The 20,613-nt window shown below is 41.4% G+C and overlaps 1 protein-coding gene across 8 annotated transcripts in view; it reads left to right on the forward strand.

Moving 5' to 3' along the window:
- The window catches only part of STT3A (STT3 oligosaccharyltransferase complex catalytic subunit A), a 31,323-nt gene that overhangs the window by 973 nt on the left and 9,737 nt on the right, over window positions 1-20,613 (forward strand). Inside the window, exons 1-15 of one of the 8 annotated variants that reach the window (XM_047426896.1) lie at window positions 111-177; window positions 897-984; window positions 2,060-2,275; window positions 3,140-3,262; window positions 4,318-4,378; window positions 9,562-9,683; window positions 10,062-10,207; window positions 11,416-11,506; window positions 12,888-12,994; window positions 13,560-13,724; window positions 15,368-15,548; window positions 16,693-16,848; window positions 18,687-18,778; window positions 19,851-20,006; window positions 20,248-20,436. In XM_047426896.1, coding sequence (XP_047282852.1) covers window positions 3,175-3,262; window positions 4,318-4,378; window positions 9,562-9,683; window positions 10,062-10,207; window positions 11,416-11,506; window positions 12,888-12,994; window positions 13,560-13,724; window positions 15,368-15,548; window positions 16,693-16,848; window positions 18,687-18,778; window positions 19,851-20,006; window positions 20,248-20,436 — 1,554 coding nt within the window. In that variant the 5' untranslated portion in view covers window positions 111-177; window positions 897-984; window positions 2,060-2,275; window positions 3,140-3,174. Of the gene's footprint in view, window positions 1-110; window positions 218-896; window positions 985-2,059; window positions 2,276-3,139; window positions 3,263-4,317; window positions 4,379-9,561; window positions 9,684-10,061; window positions 10,208-11,415; window positions 11,507-12,887; window positions 12,995-13,559; window positions 13,725-15,367; window positions 15,549-16,692; window positions 16,849-16,968; window positions 17,230-18,686; window positions 18,779-19,850; window positions 20,007-20,247; window positions 20,437-20,613 lie in introns of those variants that run through there. The other 7 variants (XM_047426895.1, NM_001278503.2, XM_011542807.4 and 4 more) reach the window with 7 other exon arrangements.

The following is a 20,613-nucleotide window of genomic DNA, read 5'->3' on the forward strand; positions in this document are numbered from 1 at the left end:
CCTCCGGATTTGACAGACAGTTCCGAGACCCTATCGCTCTCCAGAAGCGTCCTATTGGCCTGGAGCCAGCCAACGGGGGAGCGGTCCGGGAGGCGGACCCGGCTCCTGCCAGGGTTGGGTGCGCCGCTGAACGGATGGCTGAGGGAGCCCCGCGGATCGTTTAGGAAAGCCGGCCAGGTGAGAAGGCCGTAGAACGTAACTTGAAAATCAGCGGCAGGTGCAGTCCATGGCGTTGATGGGGCTGAACGAAGTGCAGGAGGCAAAACTCTAAATGGGGGTGGAGAGCAGAGCTTAGGGCCTTGCAGAGGAGGGGGCGTGGGGCGTGGTGTGGGGGCTTCCTGGATGGAAGGATGCGAAGGTCTAGGGAGGGAGGGTAAGGTGGGTCTTGAGAACAGAGCGTGGGAAAGACTGGGTCCTGGGACTAGTTATGGAGGGGAAGGCGCGTAGGATGCTGGGGTGATGAGTGTCCCGCGCTGAGGGGTATCAGAGGTGGTCAGTTCTTTGAGGGTGGGAAGAAGAGGGAGGTGGGACCCGCTGGAACGACCGGAAGGGAGAAGAGAGTAAAAGATCGTGAGAGGGTGTGGAAACGTGTGTAGGAAAACGGGGCTGGGGAAATTGCAGTCTGGGAAACTAGAGGCAGGGTGGCAGGAGATGCCACAGCTTGCAGGGCACAGTTGAGGAGAGCAGGTTGGTAAGTGTTTTAAGAAAGGTGTCTTTGCTCTTATTTGCTTGGCGGTGTGCGAAAGTGACCAAAGAGCACGAGATGAAATCTCCCTTACGGCCCTGCCCTCAATGACTAGCTCGTTTACTCAAGTTTTCAAGTAGAGATCCTAGCAGTCTCATTTTGGTGTGTGGCTCGTATCAACGCAGTGGTGTTAAGTTTGTTCCTATTTCAGGCATTCCAGAAAACAGCTGCAAACCCTGAGAGATATGGCTGGATTGTTGACCTCCTGGAGTAGTTAGGCCTTTATTTTTAGTTGCAAAGTAAGCTTTCCCTTTGGGACTATACTTAAACACATTTCTAAACTGCTCTTCTGGGACAGTTAATTATGGAGAACATGCTTGACTTCTCAGTGTTGGGGCTAGCATTCTATATGCCTTCCACCTAGTCCAGTGTTGTTGTTGTTTTGTTTTTCTCCTTTATTCCAATAATAGTGGGAAAAAAGATTCATGGAGGAGGATAGACAAACGTTTGTTAAGGGATACACAAGTACAACTAGATAGGAATAAATTCTAGTGTTCTATAGGATAACTATTATTAGGAGTATAATTAACAACAAAAATACACAATTTGTTGTATATTTTCAGATAGCTAGAAGAGTGGATTTTGAATATTCCTAAGACAAAAAAAATAAGGTGATGAATCTACTAATTATTTCCCGACTTGATCATTACACATTATATACATGTACCAAAATGTCACACTGTACTCCATAAATATGTACAATTATGTGTCAGTCAAAAAGAATAAAAGCAAAACATCTTGAATGGTGTTGCATATCCTTTGTTATAGTCGTTATAACTTAGCTCTTGATCACCTTGTAATTTAAAAAAGTAGGTCTGGGCGTGGTAGCTCACGCCTGTAATCCCAGCACTTTGGGAGGCTGAGGTGGGCAGATCATGAGGTCAAGAGATCCAGACCACCCTGGCCAACATGGTGAAACCCCGTCTCTACTAAAAATACAAAAATTAGCTGGGCGTGGTGGCGCACACCTGTAGTCCCAGCTTCTCATGAGGCTGAGGCAGAAGAATCGCTTGAACCCAGGAGGTGGATGGAGGTTGCAGTGAGCCGAGATGGCACCACTGCACTCTAGCCTGGCGACAGAGCAAGACTCCGTCTCAAAAAAAAAAAAAAAAAAAAGATAGTAGTACTGTCTTATACAAGAATAACTAACCTATGGTAGATTAGTGCTATATTGCTATATAAATAATTCATATCTGTCATGTGATTTCCATTTTGAACTGCCTACAGATAGTGTCCCTCAACATTTTAATCTACTTTTTTTAATCCCCCGACTCTTCTGCTTCAGTAGGAAAAATTCGTTTTCTTTCCCTCTAGATTATCATCTGATGCCATCAAACTGTCTGTGTAATTTAATCAGTCTCTTAAATCAGCATTGTCAGTTACAGAGAAGCCTTGAGACAGATGATTGGAAGCGGGTATAGATCTGAGCAGTCGTTACAGTCTGATATATGGGATGAGAACACAGTGGATCTGTGTTTGGGTACCTCCACCTCTTTTTGAGTGCATGATTGTACCTGCATTAGTTATCAGGTATGCTGTTAGTTGACCCGACAGCCCCATTGGGATTTGGAAAAGAAAAAAGTTTATAGCCATTCAGTTGAAGTTTAAATTTAGGGCTCGAAATTGTGTTGATTCAGTCGTGACTTCTATTTTTCCTCTTAATGCCTTTCACTTCTTCTTTTTTTTTTTTTTTCCTTTTTAAAGAGAGGAGGTCTGGCTCTATTGTCCAGGCTGGAGTGCAGTGGTGTGATCCTAGCTCACTGCAGCCTCCAACTCCTGCCTCAGCCTCCTGAGTAGCTGGGACTGCAGGTGCAGACCACCAAGCCTGCATAATTTTAAACAGTTTTTTGTGGAGATGGGGTTTTGCTGTATTGCTCAGATTGGTCTTGAACTCCTGGCTTCAAGCGATCCTCCCTCCTTAGCCTCTGAAATTGCTGGGGCTTGCACTTCTGGTCTCAATGTTTATTTCCTGCTTCCCCCCCTCCGCCCCTGCCACCCCATATAGTCCTGCCTTTTCTTGAGTGCTCTCTTTCTCCATTTTATTATTTTTCAGTATTTCCAATCTTTCCTGTTTATTTTTTCATCTCTTCCTTGTGCTATACTATTGCTAATTGTGCTTATGTACTTGTTAGCTGTGAAGGAGTGGGAAATAGAATTATGGATGGTTTATTCTGACCACTCCATTTTAGTCTTGACACATAGACCTGACTTGTGCCTACTTCCTTGCAAGTTGATCATACTTTAGGCCAGGCTTGGATACTAGTATTAGCCTTGACCCTGTCTGGTGTTTTTGCTAGCTCCTACGTCCTTTATGATTCCCTCTCATCATAAAATATGAAAATTAAGTAAATTGAAGGTGTTCAATATCTTGTGGTCTTGACTTTTTCATTTTAGCTGATCGTCGTGTGTTGCCACCCATTCATGTCAAGATGACTAAGTTTGGATTTTTGCGATTGTCCTATGAGAAGCAGGACACACTTTTGAAGCTTCTCATTCTGTCAATGGCTGCTGTATTATGTGAGTGTGCATGTGAACCTCTCTTTCTTTGGGGATAGAAAGAAGAAAGTCTAGAAAAAAATTGAAAATCGCTATCTTAAAATGCCTTGTTCTTTTTAGCAGATTGTTACATTTTTCCATTCCTCATTAGTATAATTTTATGAAGGCAAAATAAAAGGAATATAAAAGTCAGGGCTATGGGCCACATGCAGTGGTTCACGCCTGTAATCCCAGCACTTTGGGAGGCTGGGGTGGGTGGATCACTTGAGGCTGGGAGTTTGAGACCAGCCTGGCCAACATGATGAAACCCTGTCTCTACTAAAAATACAAAAACTAGTTGAGTGTGGTGGTGGATGCCTGTATTCCCAGCTACTTGGGAGGCTGAGGCACGAGAATCGCTCGAACCTGGGAGGCAGAGGTTGCAGTAAGCCGAGATTGCACCACTGCACTCTAGCCTGGGCAACAGAGCAAGACTCTGTCTCAAAAAAAAGAGGGCTGTGATCATCTTTGAAAGAATGGGAAGCATGCTGTGCCAATTCTGTTTTCTCATAGGGTTGAAAGTGATATTGGGGACCCTTGGATAACTGATTTTTGTAAAAGACAATTATCTTCAATTTAGATGTCTCCTATAGTATTTTTGAAAGTCTCTTGAGAGTTTACTCTGTATTTTAGATTTTCTGGCTCTTCATGAGTCCTAGGTGTAATTTTGCTTGCCATACCTATTACTTTGCTCCAAGGTTAAGGTTAGTTATGTGTGTATGGTGGGGGAGTCAGCGTATATAAAAGATGACCATGTAAGTTGAGTTTGGTATTAGTAGGTGAATGTAATGTTATAGGCTTTTATAATTAGTTAACTGTGACCTATGAAAGTGGAAAATGTAGATGCCATTGTCAGGGGAAAGTAAACTTCTCTTGTTTCCTTTATGTGGGGAAAGATGGATAAAGACTTTATTCAGGGATTATTTTATATTTTCTGTGACCTCTCTACTGGATAATACTGTCTTCATTATAATACTATATCTGCTGTTCTTTCATGGCACATTACCAATAAAATATTAACTCTCTGGTTTTTGCAGCCTTCTCCACTCGTCTGTTTGCTGTCCTGAGATTTGAAAGTGTTATCCATGAGTTTGATCCGTGAGTACCTTTGCTTGATCTGGTATTATTTCCTTTGGGAGGCATTCAGGTTCATGGGTTTCAGATTCAAATTTCAGTCAGCTCTCAGTGATAGAGATGTGCTTTCAGTACATTTAAGGGAAAAAAAAACCCTTAAATTCTTCCAAAGGAGATAATTATCTCCTTTTAAGACGTATGTGTTGGAGTCCAGCACAGTGGCTCACACCTGTAATCCCAGCACTTTGGGAGGCTGAGGTGGAGGGATCACTTGAGCTCAGGAGTTCAAGACCAGCCTGGGCAACATGGTGAAACCCCATCTCTACAAAAAAAAAAAAAAAAGTATGTGTTGGAATTGACCAAGTAAGTCTCTGAAACTCAAAAAATGTGAGAGGCATTGCTAGTATGTCTGCCTATCACTTAAGATCTGGCTAGGCTAAGAGAATTCTGGCTGCCCAGTTTGGTAAAAGTTTGTGATGCAGATTGAAGGAAAGGGTCCTGGTGTGTATTCCAGGCTCAGAAGAGAATCACAAACAATGGACTTGAGATTCATGACATTTTGCTGTTTGTTTGTTTGTTTAGCAATTTATGTGATAGAAATTGGGCTTCTTAGTTAAATTCTAGGGCAATGAAAAAACTCAAAGTTATCAGTTTGATAAGGAATTTTGTTCATTAGATGAAAAAGATATAGTGGAATTCCTTAGTGGTATTAATAACTAGTATTTACTAAGCATTCATTTTGTTCCAAGCACTAATTTACAGATTATCTCTAAATCCTTTCAGCAACCCTTTGAGATGTAGGTACTATTATTCCCTTCTTAGAAATGAGGAGACTCCACTGGGCACGGTGGCTCACGCCTGTAATCCCAGCACTGGGGGAGGCCAAGGCGGGCAGATCACAAGGTCAGGAGTTCGAGACCAGCCTGGCCAACATAGTAAAACCCCATCTCTACTAAAAATACAAAAATTAGCTGGGCATGGTGGCATGTGCCCGTAATCCCAGCTACTCTAGAGACTGAGGCAGGAGAATCGCTTGAACGCAGGAGGTGGAGGTTGCAGTGAGCCAAGATCATGCCACTGCACTCCTGCCTGGGCTACAGAGCAAGGCTCCATCTCAAAAAAAAAAGAAAAAGAAAAAAGAAATGAGGAGACTCAGGCTGGGAGTGGTTATCTAAGGTTGATTATTCAGTACGTGGAGGAACCGTGATTTGAATGTTGGTTTGTCTGACTCCAGAGACTGTAGTCACTGTGTTATATTGCCTAAAGTTAAGGCTTATAACAAATTTGGAGGGCCAAAATCATAGGTTCTTGAAATATTATTGGTATCTTAAAAATAGTATATTCAATCTTGTGGAGTATTGATTGAAAATGCCTGCATCTATTTGCAAATTTATAATTTTGTTTTGTGTAGATATTTGAAAGCATTTTGGAGGCATTACAAATAATTCTGTTTGGGGCCTCCCAAATTCAGTTTATATTTTTTCTCATGAATGAGGAGACATGTCCTTTTGTTTTTTCTTTTTTTGTTTGAGATTGGGTCTGACTGTCACCCAAGCTGAAGTGCAGTGGAGTGATCACGGCTTACTGCAGCCTTGACTTGTGGGGCCTAAGTGATCCCCCCACCTCAGTTTCCCAAGTAGCTGGGACCACAGGCATGTGCCACCATACCTAGCTAATTTTTTAAAAATTTTTTGTAGAGATGGAGTCTCACTATGTTGCCCAGGCTGGTCTCAAACTCCTGGGCTCAAGCAATCCTCCCTCCTCAGCCTCCCAAAGTACTGGCATTACAGGTATGGGCTTCCATGCCCAGCCTACTTTTGTTTCTTGATCCCAATCTGTTAGGCTTCTTTCTCAGACCCTCTGAATGAGCAAATATTGATGTTAGATAATCAAGGAATGCAAGAGCATCTGCTTTGTCGTCAAGAGCTGTTAGGGACCATAAGGGACTTGACACTTCCTTTTGCAGAGGAGGAAACTGATTCCCAGAGTGGTGAATGCAGTCCAGACCTATTCCTACTAACTTATACTTCCTCTCTCACTCTGCCTCTCCTACTGGTAGCTAAAGGACACAATTCTGACACATACTGATGTCTGCAACCCTCATCTCTTCTGTTTCTGACAGTCACCAAAATAACATCAGTGACAAACAGAAGGATAGAGATTTCTGCCATCTGTTGCTTCTGTTTACTTCAGCTTTCAAAACTTGACTGACCAAGGAGGAAATAGGGTTAGAGAGGTGGGCAGAGAGGACGGTTAGTCATGATTATCCATAGTAATTAAACTGTCTCTAGTTTGAGACTCTTTGTTTATTTTTGTCTGTCTTCCTTTTTTTTGGAAACAGGGTCTTGCTGTGTCACCCAGGCTGAAGTTCAGTGGCTCAGTTATGGCTCATGCAGCCTCAACTTCCTGGGCTCAAGTGATCCTCCCACCTCAGCCTCCCGAGTAGCTGGGATTACAGGCACGCGCCACCATGCCTGGCTAATTTTTGTGTTTTTTGTAGATTGGGTCTTGTTATGTTACACAGGCTGGTCTCAAACTTCTGTGCTCAAGCGATCCATCCACCTCTGCCTCCCAAAGTGCTGGGATAACAGGCATGAACTACTACACCGGCCTCTTCTTTATTTTTATTTATTATTATTATTATTATTTTTTGAGATGGAGTTTCGCTCTTGTTGCCCAGGCTGGAGTGCAATGGCACAATCTCAGCTCACCACAACCTCTGCCTCCCGGGTTCAAGCGATTCTCCTGCCTCAGCCTCCTAAGTAGCTGGGATTACAGGCACGCGCCACCACGCCTGGCTAATTTTTGTATTTTTTGTAGATTGGGTCTTGTCATGTTACACAGGCTGGTCTCAAACTTCTGTGCTCAAGCGATCCATCCACCTCTGCCTCCCAAAGTGCTGGGATAACAGGCATTAACTACTACGCCGGCCTCTTATTTATTTTTATTTGTTATTATTATTAATTTTTTTTGAGATGGAGTTTTGCTCTTGTTGCCCAGGCTGGAGTGCAATGGCACAATCTCAGCTCACCACAACCTCTGCCTCCCGGGTTCAAGCGATTCTCCTGCCTCAGCCTCCTAAGTAGCTAGGATTACAGGCATGCGCCACCACGCCTGGCTAATTTTGTATTTTTAGTAGAGACAGGGTTTCTCCATGTTGGTCAGGCTGGTCTCGAACTCCCGACCTCAGGTGATCCACCTGCGTCGGCCTCCCAAAGTGCTGAGATTACAGGAGTGAGCCACTGCGCCTGGCCTTATTATTATTATTATTTATTTTATTTTTTGAGACAGGGTCTTGCTCTGTCACCAGGCTGGAGTGCAATGGCATGATCAGGGCTCACTGAAGCTTCAACCTCCCTGGGCTCAGGTGATCCTCTTATTTCAGCCTCCTGAGTAGCTGGGACTACAGGCGTGTGCCACTAAGTCCTGCTGATTGTTGTATTTTTTTTTAGAAACAGGGTCTCTCTATGTTGCCCAGGCTGATCTTGAACTCCTGAGCTCAAGTGATCCACCTGCCTTGGCCTACTAAAGTATTGGGATTACAGGTGTTATCTACCTCACCCAGCCTTATTTCTTTTTAAATAAGAAACTTAAGGACTTACATATTTTGGGCCTAAAGAACTATCTTTCCATTTAAAGCTCTTAAGCATTTTATGTCAAATATTTTTCATGTTGTCTATGTATCTGTGTATCTTTCTATATTTTTTTTGAGAAAGGGTCTTGCTCTGTTGCCCAGTCTGGAGCACAGTGTTGTGATCATGGCTCACTGTAGCCTTGACCTCCTGGACTCAAGCAGTCATCCCACTTCAACCTCCTGAGTGGCTGAGACTATAGGTGTGTGCCACCATGCCTGGCTAATTTTTAAAAAATGTTTTGTAGAGACAGAGTCTCACTGTGTTGCCCAGGCTGGTCTTGAACTGGGCTTAAGCGATCCTCTTGCCTCAGTCTTCCAAAGTGCCGGGCTTACAGGCATGAGCTGCCATGCCTGGCTGTAATCTATATTTTTATGCTTCTATATAGGTGACATAAGAAGCATTTTAGATAACCACATGAGTAGACCTTGTTAAAAGTTTAAACACTGATTAAGAAAGTTGTGTTATGAAGTAGGTTAAAATTTTTTCATCCTGCATATGATGGTATACCAACATCTTTAAAGATTCTCATCACTGGAAATTATTCATGTGTCTTTGTGTGCAGTATAGATTTTTAAAAATATGTTCCTGTCACTTAAAAGCCAGAATCTGGCCAGGCATGGTGGCTCACACCTGTAATCCAAGCACTTTGTGAGGCTGGGGCAGGTGGATCACCTGAGGTCAGGAGTTTGAGACCAGCCTGGCCAATATGGTGAAACCCTGCCTCTACTAAAAATACAAAAATTAGCTGGGCATTGTGGCGAGCGCCTGTAATCCCAGTTACTTTCAGAAGGCTGAGGCAGGAGAATGGCTTGAACTCCGTAGGCAGAGGTTGCAGTGAGCCGAGATCGTGCCATTGTGCTCCAGCCTGGGCAACAAGAGCGAAACTCTGTCTCAAAAAAAAAAATAAATAAGAAAGCCAAAATCTATTGGTGCCCACATCTCAGTGGCTTTGTCTTCATGGTGCTTGAATTCTCTGACTGGTCCTAATGCCTACCACATGTCAGCTTGTTGAAGTATCCCATTTGATTGCTTTGTTACAATGTTAGGCTCCAGTTTCATTTCCTTTTTATTTATTTATTTTTTTTTCTGAGATGGAGTCTTGCTCTGTTGCCCAGGCTGGAGTGCAGTGGCAATCTCGGCTCACTGTAACCTCTGCCTCCAAGGTTCTAGCGATTCTCCTGCCTCAGCCTCCTGAGTAGCTGGGATTACAGGCACATGCCACCGTGCCCAGCTAATTTTTGTATTTTTAGTAGAGATGGGGTTTCAACATGTTCGTCAGGCCAGTCTCGAACTCCTGACCTTGTGATCCACCTGCCTCGGACTCCTAAAGTGCTGAGATTATAGGCATGAGCCACTGCACCCGGCTCATTTCCTTATGAGAAAAGCAGTGCTTTAGTTGAGACAAGCATGGAGATAGAAGTAAACAGACTTATGGTAGTGTAAAATGATTTTCATGGCATAATATCTGATGTTAAACTGATTTTTCATTGAGTAATGCTGAATTTCTCAATGGTGTATCCTGAGGAGCAAAATTCACCACAAATTTACAACAAAGTTTATTTCTTGCTATAGGTACTTTAATTATCGGACTACCAGGTTCCTGGCTGAGGAGGGGTTTTATAAATTCCATAACTGGTTTGATGACCGAGCCTGGTACCCTTTGGGACGAATCATTGGAGGAACAATTTACCCAGGTGAGGAGACCAGATGTGTTTTTTTTTTTAAAAAAAAAACAGAAATATTTGTATGCTAGAGAACCAGTTTCTTTTATTTCTAATAGCTTTGTCTTGTGACACTTGTAATTTCATCCTGATTACAGGTTCCTAAAAGTGCATCTTACATAAACAGGAGTACATTTGTAGTAGAGTGGAGATGGGTGGTTTTTATACATTCTAGACTTCTGATTGAATCCTTAGGGGAGAAATTTATAGGCTTACTGCAGTTGCTATGTTAGTATTTCTGGTGATTTGTCAAGACTTACATAGTCACTTTATTGTATCTGGGATTTTCCCTTTCTTTTTCCCTTAAGTTCTGGTAAGACAACCTAATGGAGTTTCTTCTTCCTGTTACAGGTTTAATGATCACCTCTGCTGCAATCTACCATGTACTCCATTTTTTCCACATCACCATCGACATTCGGAATGTCTGTGTGTTCCTGGCCCCTCTCTTCTCCTCCTTCACCACCATCGTCACGTACCACCTTACCAAAGAGCTCAAGGTGAAGGATTTGGGGTGACAGGAGGCTTGGGAATGAATGTTATTGAGCCTCTCTAATCGATGCTGGAGGGTGGGGGACAGAGCCTTAGAAAGGCAGGGAGCCAGAAGGTGAAGACAGCTTTTACTGGGCCAAATTAATTGGCTTCACTCCAACCCCTTTCTGCAATATGTGTTTTTTATCATTAGCAACTGTTTGTCCTTATGAGAGTACAGTTGAAAGTGAAATGTAAATTGCAACATAAAGAAAAAAACATTTAAAATGCAAAATGTGAGGTTTGGATTTTGAAGTCCTCACAATGTAAGGGAGAGGAAAAAAAAACTACATGAAACATTCCAAAACGGTTAGTTTTTCCTACCAGGAATGTACTCAGCAATTATTTGTTGATTTAAAAAAAATTTTTTTTTATTTTAAAATTCTTAAGCCATTTGGCTTCCGTAGTAGACTCCATAATGCTGACTCTGTTTTTCCAGGTTTCAGCATTGCTGACCTTGGCTCCCTGGGTGCTATTCTTAGTTTGTGCTGCGGTGTTAGAGAGATACCTGAGAGGTGATAAACTAGTAGGGGGTTTGGGAAGCCTGAATTTAGTTTGGAAAACTTTTTGATCCTTCTCCTTGCTGCCCTTTCCCAAATTTGACTCTTTCAACAGACAAGTCTTTACTTTTTTGGAATGTGGCTTATATCTGTTGCTCCTTTCTCCTGAGCTCAAAGGGTGCCTGGTGATATTTAAGCTTTATTGCCTAAGCTCCTGGCATCTTCAGTTTAGGTAGATTATCACTTAGCTTTCTTGGCTTTTTAACTGAAATAATAATTTTCTTCCTTTGATTGTCCTTGCATGGCTTTTAGAGGTGTGACTGGTGTTCCAATGATGTACAGATATTGTTAGGGGTAGAGACTTACGAGCTTGGGGAGATTGGTAGCCAAACAGCCCATTCTGGGACAGTATTGATGTTTGACATCTCACTTGATTTGTCTGTCCTCAGCATATGTGTTCTCAGTGTCAGGTTTGGTGTCATCATGGGGAATTGGTCATGAAGTTTTTAGCTTGCTTGTGCTGTGAGCATTTCTAGCATTTCTAACATCTCACATCTACCTTCGAAATTGTTGGACTGTTTTCTGGGCTCATTATAAACAGAATGGACTAGTGGATCCTCTGTTCTTTCTCAGCATTGTATTGGTGTTAATGTCTTATTACCCTTTTTTTCTTACAGGATGCAGGGGCTGGGCTTCTTGCTGCTGCCATGATTGCTGTAGTTCCTGGATATATCTCCCGATCTGTGGCTGGCTCCTATGATAATGAAGGTAAGACTTTTAAAATGCTGAAGAAGATCATCTCACCTCATTATCCAACAGAGCTTCACAAAGTGCAGTCTATGGTTTAGCAATAATAAAAATGGTAACTGGGTGAGAATATTAGAAATGGGCAGGAACGGATCTTGGACAAGCTCATGTTCTCTTCCCATCATCCTTTCCAGAAAGGTAGTTGGTAACTTTTCTTACAAGTCTTTGGTTCATCTCTGCACTCATAAAATAGTTAACTATTGTTTTAACATTATAATCATTTGCTTTATTTTCCTACATAAAGGGAGTGGATGTCCTTAAAATTTTAATGACTGATTGACTTATTCTCAATTCAACATACATTTGTTGAATGTTATTGGGAAAACATAGTATTAAGTGTTAGGTAATGACTAAGATTACTTTGTGCATAATTATAAGAAATTAAAGAGATAGGTAATGAATAAGGTTATATTGGCCCATCATCTATTAAGGAAGATTAAAATGGACATGTAAATATAACTCCAGTGACAGGAGATAGTACTATGTGCCATGATAAAAATTTGAACAGAGTACTTCAGGAATGTAGTGGAAGGAGAGATTTGGGGCTGAGCTTGGTGGCTCACGCCCTGTTATCCAGTACTTTCAGAGGCTGAGGTGTGTGGATCATTTGAGCTCAGGAGTTTGAGACCAGCCTGGGCAACCCTGTCACTATAAGAAATACAAAAATTAGCTGGGCATGGTAGTGTGCGCCTATAGTCCCAGCTACTCTGGAGACTGAAGTGGGAGGATCGCTTGAGCCTGGGAGGTTGAGGCTGCGGTGAGCTGTGATTGCCACTGCACTTCAGCCTAGTAATAGAGCAAGACCCTGTTTTTGTTGTTGTTGTTGTTGTTTTTATTTTTATTTTTTTAAGAAAAAAAAAAAGCAGACTGGAGAATCAAGGAAGGCTTTTTAGAAGTGGTTGAGGGTCAACTGGGTCCTGAAGTTGGGACTTCATTAGGCAGATATCAAGGAAAGGGGCAATTGGGGCATGAGTATTATATGTTAAGACATAGAGGCAGGATGATGAATGATAGTATAAGATGTCTTTAGAACTATACTAGCAGGATGTTTAGTGCTTGGAAAGAATGATAATAATGGCCAATATTTACTTAATGTTTATTATATGCTAGGTACTCTTCTAAGTGCTTTACAGGCATTAATTATATTTGTTTTCAGAACACTTTTATGAAGTAGATACTATTACTTCTTCTTACATGAAACTGAAACAAAAGGAAGTAAATAATTTGCCTAAAATTACACTATTACTTGGTAGTAGATCCAGGCAGTCTGTTCCAGAACAGTATTCTTAATGACTATACTAGCCTGGCCTCTTGTTGAATTTTTGGTGTGTCCTTTCTGCAGGGATTGCCATCTTTTGCATGCTACTCACCTACTACATGTGGATCAAGGCAGTAAAGACTGGTTCCATCTGTTGGGCAGCTAAGTGTGCCCTTGCTTATTTCTACATGGTAACTTTTTCTACATGTTTTCAATTTTTAAAGTTCTCTAAATACTGTATTTCCTATGGGTACTTATTGTTTGACCAACTTTCTTTTCTGGTAGGTTCCCCTAAATTTTTTTCTTTTCCAGTATATTTTTTCTGTTCATACTTACGTATACATGTAGACTTCCTTAATTGCTTCCACTTGCTCACATATCCCTAAATCCTCTGTGTGACCTTACAGTAGATTGCATTTAGATTAATTCTGAGGCTTGAGTCCCTCTCGTTATGTGATCATGACATCAGCAACCACAAGGGAGCAGGGGATTGAGTTACAGTGATGGGTTTGAACTTGATTTTATATTTTCTTTTTTAAAATTTATTTTATTTTGTGTGACCTGTACATGTAAGGACTTGATTTTCCTGTTTAAAAAAAAAAATCAGTTATTTGAACTCTTTAAGCCATTTGGCATAAATAAAGTTATAGTTACTATAAGTGTTCTTTAAAGAGTCACAGGTGATATCCTACAATATAGTGGTGGTGGTCTGAGGAGGCATACTCAGAGGAACTGTTTTTTTCTATTCCATCATAGGTCTCGTCATGGGGAGGTTATGTGTTCCTGATCAACTTAATTCCTCTCCACGTCCTCGTGCTGATGCTCACAGGCCGTTTCTCTCACCGGATCTATGTGGCCTACTGTACTGTTTACTGCCTGGGCACTATACTTTCTATGCAGATCTCCTTTGTGGGTTTCCAGGTGAGCCCTTGACTGAGTAGGGTTTTCAGCTTCTACTTTTTCTATGCAGCCCCAACTAGACTGATTTATCTTAGATTCTGTTAAGAAGAGTACGACTTATTCACAGCCTTTATATTGAACTACTTGTGTTAGTTGAAGCAACAGAATTACTGGTCATTAAAGTTTGCATCCAGGAGTCTGCTAATATTTGCTCCGTGGAGTTTGAATTCCATGGCTCTTACTTTGGCTTTAAGTTTGTGGGAAGGGGAGGGATATTTAGTTGAGTTGAGTTTAGATGAGTGATCAGAGTTAAAATTTCCAGTCTTCTTAATGCAGATGACCCCATGTAGTAGCAGAGATTCCTGATCTTAATGGCATCTAATTGTAAGTGCTTCAGGAAGTAAAGCACAAACCTTTAACCACATTGCTCCACAGGGTTAACAGACAACTGTTAAATCAAAGAATAATGTGGTATGTTTGATTTCTCTTGTGAAATTATCATGAAAATGCAAACCTTATCTAGAGGTCAACAAGTATTTCTTTACTGATTACCTACTGCAGATTGTCCCCAACTTATGAAGCGTGACTTAGGATTTTTTGGCTTTAGAATGGTGTGAAAGTGATCTGCATTGAGTAGAAACCGTACTTCCAGTACCCATACAAGCATTCTGTTTTTCACTTACAGTACGGTAGTCAATAAATTACATGAGATTCTCAACACTTTATTGTAAAATAGGCTTTGTGCTAGATGATTTTGCCCAACTGTAGGCTAATGTTAAATGTTCTGAGCATGTTTAAGGTAGTCTACGCTAAGCTGTGATGTTCCATAGGCTAGGCGTATTAAATGCATTTTCTACTTAAGATATTTTCAACTTAAAATGGGTTTATGGGGATATAACCCAATCATAAGTTGAAAAGCATTTGTATATGCAGTTTGCTAATCACTTGAAAATGTAAAAAGAATAAAAATGCGGTCATAGTCCTTAAGGAAGTTTTGGTCTTCTTACAGGGAAAGAAATACAGGCAGCTGTCTATATCCGATAGGCTACAGTTCTGGAAGTGTGGTTCTTGAATCATCATCACTAGCAGCAGCAGCTAGAAACTTGTTAGAAATAAATGCAAATTCTAGAGCCCCAACACAGACCTACTGAATCAGAAACTCTGGAGGTGGGGCTCAGCGATCTGTGCTTCGACACTCCTACCTCCTTGGTGACTACGATGCCCACTAGCATTTGAGAACCACCGATCTAAGGCAAAGAATGATTAAGTGCTAGAAGAGAACTAATGTGATATGGAACATAGAGAGGAGTGATTGATTTCAGTTTGGCAGATTGGGAAGAGATGATATTTGAGTTGGACCTTGAATGATGAGAATTTTAGTGGATGGGAATTTGGGGAAAATTACAGTCTAGGCTAAGGAAATAACCTGAGCAAAAGCCAGAGATGTGATAATGATAGTGTATCTTATGCTTTAGGGGGCTGCAAATATTCTGTAGAAAATATGGCTGGTGAATTAAACCCTTCCCTAGATTGGCCCTGATTCCTTCGGGGCCTCAGAACTCATTTGACCATTTGGTTTGAACTAGATAAGAATAATGCAGGCCTGCACTGGACTTACTCATTTTTTTTCCTTAGTATTAACATACATATCCTTTTACCTACAGCCTGTCCTTTCATCAGAGCACATGGCAGCCTTTGGGGTCTTTGGTCTCTGCCAGATCCATGCCTTTGTGGATTACCTGCGCAGCAAGTTGAATCCACAACAATTTGAAGTTCTTTTCCGGAGCGTCATCTCTCTGGTAGGCTTTGTCCTTCTCACCGTGGGAGCTCTCCTCATGCTGACAGGTAGGGAAGGCTCACAGCTTTTTTCCTTTTTTCTTTTTTTTTAAGATGGAGTTTCGCTCTTGTTGCCCAGGCCGGAGTGCAGTGGTGCGATCTCGGCTCACTGCAACCTCCACCTCCCAGGTTCAAGCGATTCTCCTGCCTCAGCCTCCTGAGTAGCTGGGATTACAGGCGCCTGCCACCGCGCCCGCCACCACGCCCAGCCAATTTTGTATTTTTAGTAGAGACGGGGTTTCTCCATGTTTGTCAGGCTGGTCTCAAACTCCCGACCTCAGGTGATCCGCCCGCCTCGGCCTCCCAAATTGCTGGGATTACAGGCGTGAGCCACTGCACCCGGTCAGGCTTAGAGCTTTTACTATTAAATGCAGATGGGTACAGACATAGAATAAACTCCAAAAGACAGGGTATTTTCTGAACACAAAAGATTATTTTTTTCTTATTTCTTTTTTCATCGGAAGCATGTACAATCCCACAATTTTACATTCAATCCACTTTTCAGCCCAGTGTTTGGATTCAGCATAGCAGAAAATATCTTGTTGGAGCTGCTCTTAATCACACCTGGTGAAAGGACTATATCTTACCTTGCGAATCTTTCTCCTTTTTCTTTCTTTTTTTTTCTTTCCTATTGATTGGGTGGGAGAAGTCATTATATTGCTTACCATACCCTCCAAAGTGGCACTCATCTAATCCCATGGAAACTAAATCATAGCTGTTTAGTTGGTTGGAAAGCCAAATTTTCCTTCTTTTTCTCTACTTTGCTTTCTCAGAGATGAATTTGATTTTGCTCAAGTCTATCTATTGACTAATTCAGAGCAGGACTTGAGGATATAGTTGATTTAATCTCTACAGTTGGCCTTGGTTTGACCAAATTTGGCCTAAAACCCTTTCAGGTAGCATTTCTGCCTCTGTTCTTCTCTCCAAGTTTATATACAGCCTGGCTTTATTCTGCTGGCAGTGCTGACAAAAGTACTCTCAGGTTTGAAAGAAAGGAAGGAGTGAAACTCTCTAAGTATTGGTGGCAATTAAGCAAAAACCTAATCCTTCTCTGTCACTGAGAATCTTATTAAAATGGGAAGTTGTGATTCATTTGGATCAGATGTTTGTTTGAAGAGTGTGTGTGGAATATTTATTGCCTCTTTGCTGCTAGGAAAAATATCTCCCTGGACGGGGCGTTTCTACTCGCTGCTGGATCCCTCTTATGCTAAGAACAACATCCCCATCATTGCTTCTGTGTCTGAGCATCAGCCCACAACCTGGTCCTCATACTATTTTGACCTGCAGCTCCTCGTCTTCATGTTTCCAGGTATGTGGCCTCGTGTTCTGAAATGGCCTTGTTCATAAGAATCACAATTTGATTCCAAATTTGCAAGCTACCCTCATTCGTGTTTTGTTTTTCTTTGCCTGTTTATGTTGTGTAATACAGAGGACGGCTAAGCAAATTTTCTCATGTATGAAGCTGAGCAGAAGTCAGAAGTTCAACAGTTGTAGATATTGGCAAGTTCAGCCTCACAGTTTTCTGTTCATTTGTCATTTGTGTTATAAGTTAAAATTTAACGGTAATTTTTACTCCGGTTTTGTTTTGTTTTGTTTGAGTACTTCTGTCGTACTCCTTCCCCTTTACCCTTGTTTTTCCTCTTGGAAGTATTGAAGTCCCATAATGAGTACTGCTGATTGTAAAGCCTCATCAATCTCTTATCTTCTGGCCAATCCAGATGTGTTTTAGAATTTACCGGTGTTAGTGGTCTTTTTCTCTTAAAAAATAACTTTTACCTTTTTTTTTTTTTTTTTTTTTTTGAGATAGAGTCTTGCTCTGTTGCCTAGGCTTCAGGGCAGTGGTACAATCTCAGCTTACTGCGGCCTCTGCCTCCTGGGCTCAAGCCATCCTTCCACCTCACCCTCCTGAGTAGCTGGGACTACAGGTGCACACCACCATGCCCAGCTAATTTTTGTATTTTTTTTGTAGAGATGGGGTTTTGCCATGTTGCCCAGGCTGGTCTTGAACTCATGGGCTCAAGCAGTCTGCTCACCTTGGCCTCCCATAGTGCTGGGATTACAGGCGTGAGCCACTGTGCCTGGCCAACTTTTACTTTTTTCTTACTGTGAAAGTAATTTGTGTATTGTAAAAATATATGTAAATAAATAGAAAAAGATGCTGGGCACAATGGCTCATGCCTATAATCCTAGCCAGTTAGGAGGCTGAGGTGAGAAGATCACTTAAGGTCAGGAATTTGAGATCAACCTGGGCAACACAGTGGGACCCACGTCTTAAAAAAAACAACAACAGGCCTGGAATTGTAGTTCACATCAGTAATGCCAGCACTTTGGAAGGATGAGGTGGGAGGATTGCTTGAGGCGAGGAGTTCAAGACCAGGCTGGGCAATATAGTGAGACCCCTGTCTCTACTTAAAAAAAAATAATAATAATAATGCGCGCACACACCCATACCCACACACACCCATACCCACACACACACACATACACACATATAAAATAAATAAAATTAGCTGGGCATGGTAGTGTGCACCTTTAGTCCCAGCTACTTGGAAGGCTGAGGTGGAAGGATTACTTGAGCCCGGGAGTTTGAGACCAGCCTCGGTTATACAGCAAGACCCCCATCTCAAAAAAGGTACATATTCAGGAGTTCTCACTACCCATCTCTAGCCACTGTTAACATTTTGATGTATATTTATCAAATAAGAATGAGATCATAGTTTTTTCCCTGATTTTTTTCACTTCATAAAGAATCAAATTTCTCTGTTACTTAGTATTATTTTATAGAAATACTTAAAATGTATCATTTATTAGTTTTTTAAAGTACAGAGATGTGTCAAGATGTGTAAGAAGGCAAGTAGTACATAATCTCATGCAGCAATATTTTAATATATTCCATTTTATAAATATAGTATAATTAGCTCCTTGTTTTTGGACATTTGGGTTGTTTCTGATTTTTTTGCTACTTTAAAGTGTGCTGTAGTAAACATCTTTGCATGTTTCTATGATTGTTTTTTTAGGATAAATTCCTGGAAGTGGAATTGCTGGGTTAAATGTGTGGAATCATCCAGTCATATAATGAAGATACTTTACCTTGTAGGTTTCAACCTACAGGACTCAGCTGCTTATTTCTCCTTCCCTCTTTTGTAGTTGGCCTCTATTACTGCTTTAGCAACCTGTCTGATGCCCGGATTTTTATCATCATGTATGGTGTGACCAGCATGTACTTTTCAGCTGTAATGGTGAGGATGCCCTCAGTCTGGTAGACTTTTTCACTCTAACTCTGAGGTGCTTTTTTATCTGTCTGGCAGAATTCAGAAAGTACTGATGATTGTGCACATGCTTCCCTCTGAGCATTTGAGGGAATGAGTTGTAAGTTGTTGATCCTTTCCAGGAACGTATGGGACACTCATACATTCTGGTTGTGGGGTCCAACTTTCTTGGATTCGTAACTTTGTATTATAGAAGCATTTTTGCACTTTGTTGGATAATATGACCCTGGGTGTCTTAAAACGGGAGATGATATTTTTTTCTTGAAGGCTTGGGAGTATTACCCAGTGCTAGATTGTTAGAGGAGGGATTTGAATTTTTTTTTTTTTTTTTTTTTTTTTTTTTTTGAGACAGAGTTTCACTCTTGTTGCCCAGGCTGGAGAGCAGTGGCGTGGTCCCGGCTCACCACAACTGCCGCCTGCTGGGTTCAAGCGATTCTCCTGCCTCAGCCTCCCAAATAGCTGGGATTACTGGCATGCACCACCATACCCAGCTAATTTTGTATTTTTAGTAGAGATGGGGTTTTCCATGTTCGTCAGGCTGATCTTGAACTCCCGACCTCAGGTGATCCACCCGCCTTGGCCTCCCAAAGTGCTGGGATTACAGGCGTGAGCCACTGAGAATACACACATTCTCTTATATACTTTAAATCATCTCTAGATTGTAATACTAATAACTAATACTAGGTAAATGGTTGTTAATACTGTATTGTTTAGGGAACAATGACAAGAAAAAAGAGAGGAGAGATTTTATATATTGTAGTAAAATAGTGTTTCTCATATTTTTTTGGTCTCAAACCACAGTTATGAAATATACTTTATATCATTATTCAAGACACACATGCATATGTACATGCATATAATTGAAACAAAGTTTAAGAAATACATACTAATACTGCAACTGTTTCAAGTATTTTCTCTTTCACTTTTTGTGGAGGTCATGTTTGATGAAAACCCCTAAATTGATGTCTTGATCTACTAATAGGCTGAAATCTGTAAATTGTGGAACACTGATTAGACTGATCATGCTTCCTGTCTCTGTTAGGTGCGTCTAATGCTAGTGTTGGCACCTGTTATGTGCATTCTCTCTGGCATTGGAGTCTCCCAGGTGCTGTCCACATACATGAAGAATCTGGACATAAGTCGTCCAGACAAGAAGAGCAAGAAGCAACAGGATTCCACCTACCCTATTAAGAATGAAGTGAGAAGCAATGTTAAGAGTAGACTTGGGAAACTCTGTGTGTGTGTGTGTATGTGTGTATGTGGGCAGCGGGGGGTGGGAGGAGTAAAGTAGAGCACTGTCCTAGGTGGTCAGAATTAACTCATATAGCCTCTGACTTATTTTGATCAATCTCATCTATATGAATGTGTCTAAGAAGTTGTCCTGTGTTGTGTGAATTTAGTTTGGTTAACTACACAATTAATTCTTTTTCCTTGTTTAGGTGGCAAGTGGGATGATACTGGTCATGGCTTTCTTTCTCATCACCTACACCTTTCATTCAACCTGGGTGACCAGTGAGGCCTACTCTTCTCCGTCCATTGTACTATCTGCCCGTGGTGGGGATGGCAGTAGGATCATATTTGATGACTTCCGAGAAGCATATTATTGGCTTCGTCATAATACTCCAGAGGTGAAGATTTGGGAGGGGTGGGAATTGTGGGTTAGGGGCAAAGGGGAAGACATTTGATGTTACAGTGAATCATACAGCTTTTAGATGGGTGGAAAGCTGGGTGAAACTGGAACTTTGCAACTCTAGTCTTGAATGAGCCTTAAAGGTGAACCTCCATTCAATTCTGGGATCTTTTGT

The sequence above is a fragment of the Homo sapiens genome, chromosome 11, assembly GCF_000001405.40.
Source record: "Homo sapiens chromosome 11, GRCh38.p14 Primary Assembly".
Lineage (NCBI taxonomy): Eukaryota > Metazoa > Chordata > Mammalia > Primates > Hominidae > Homo > Homo sapiens.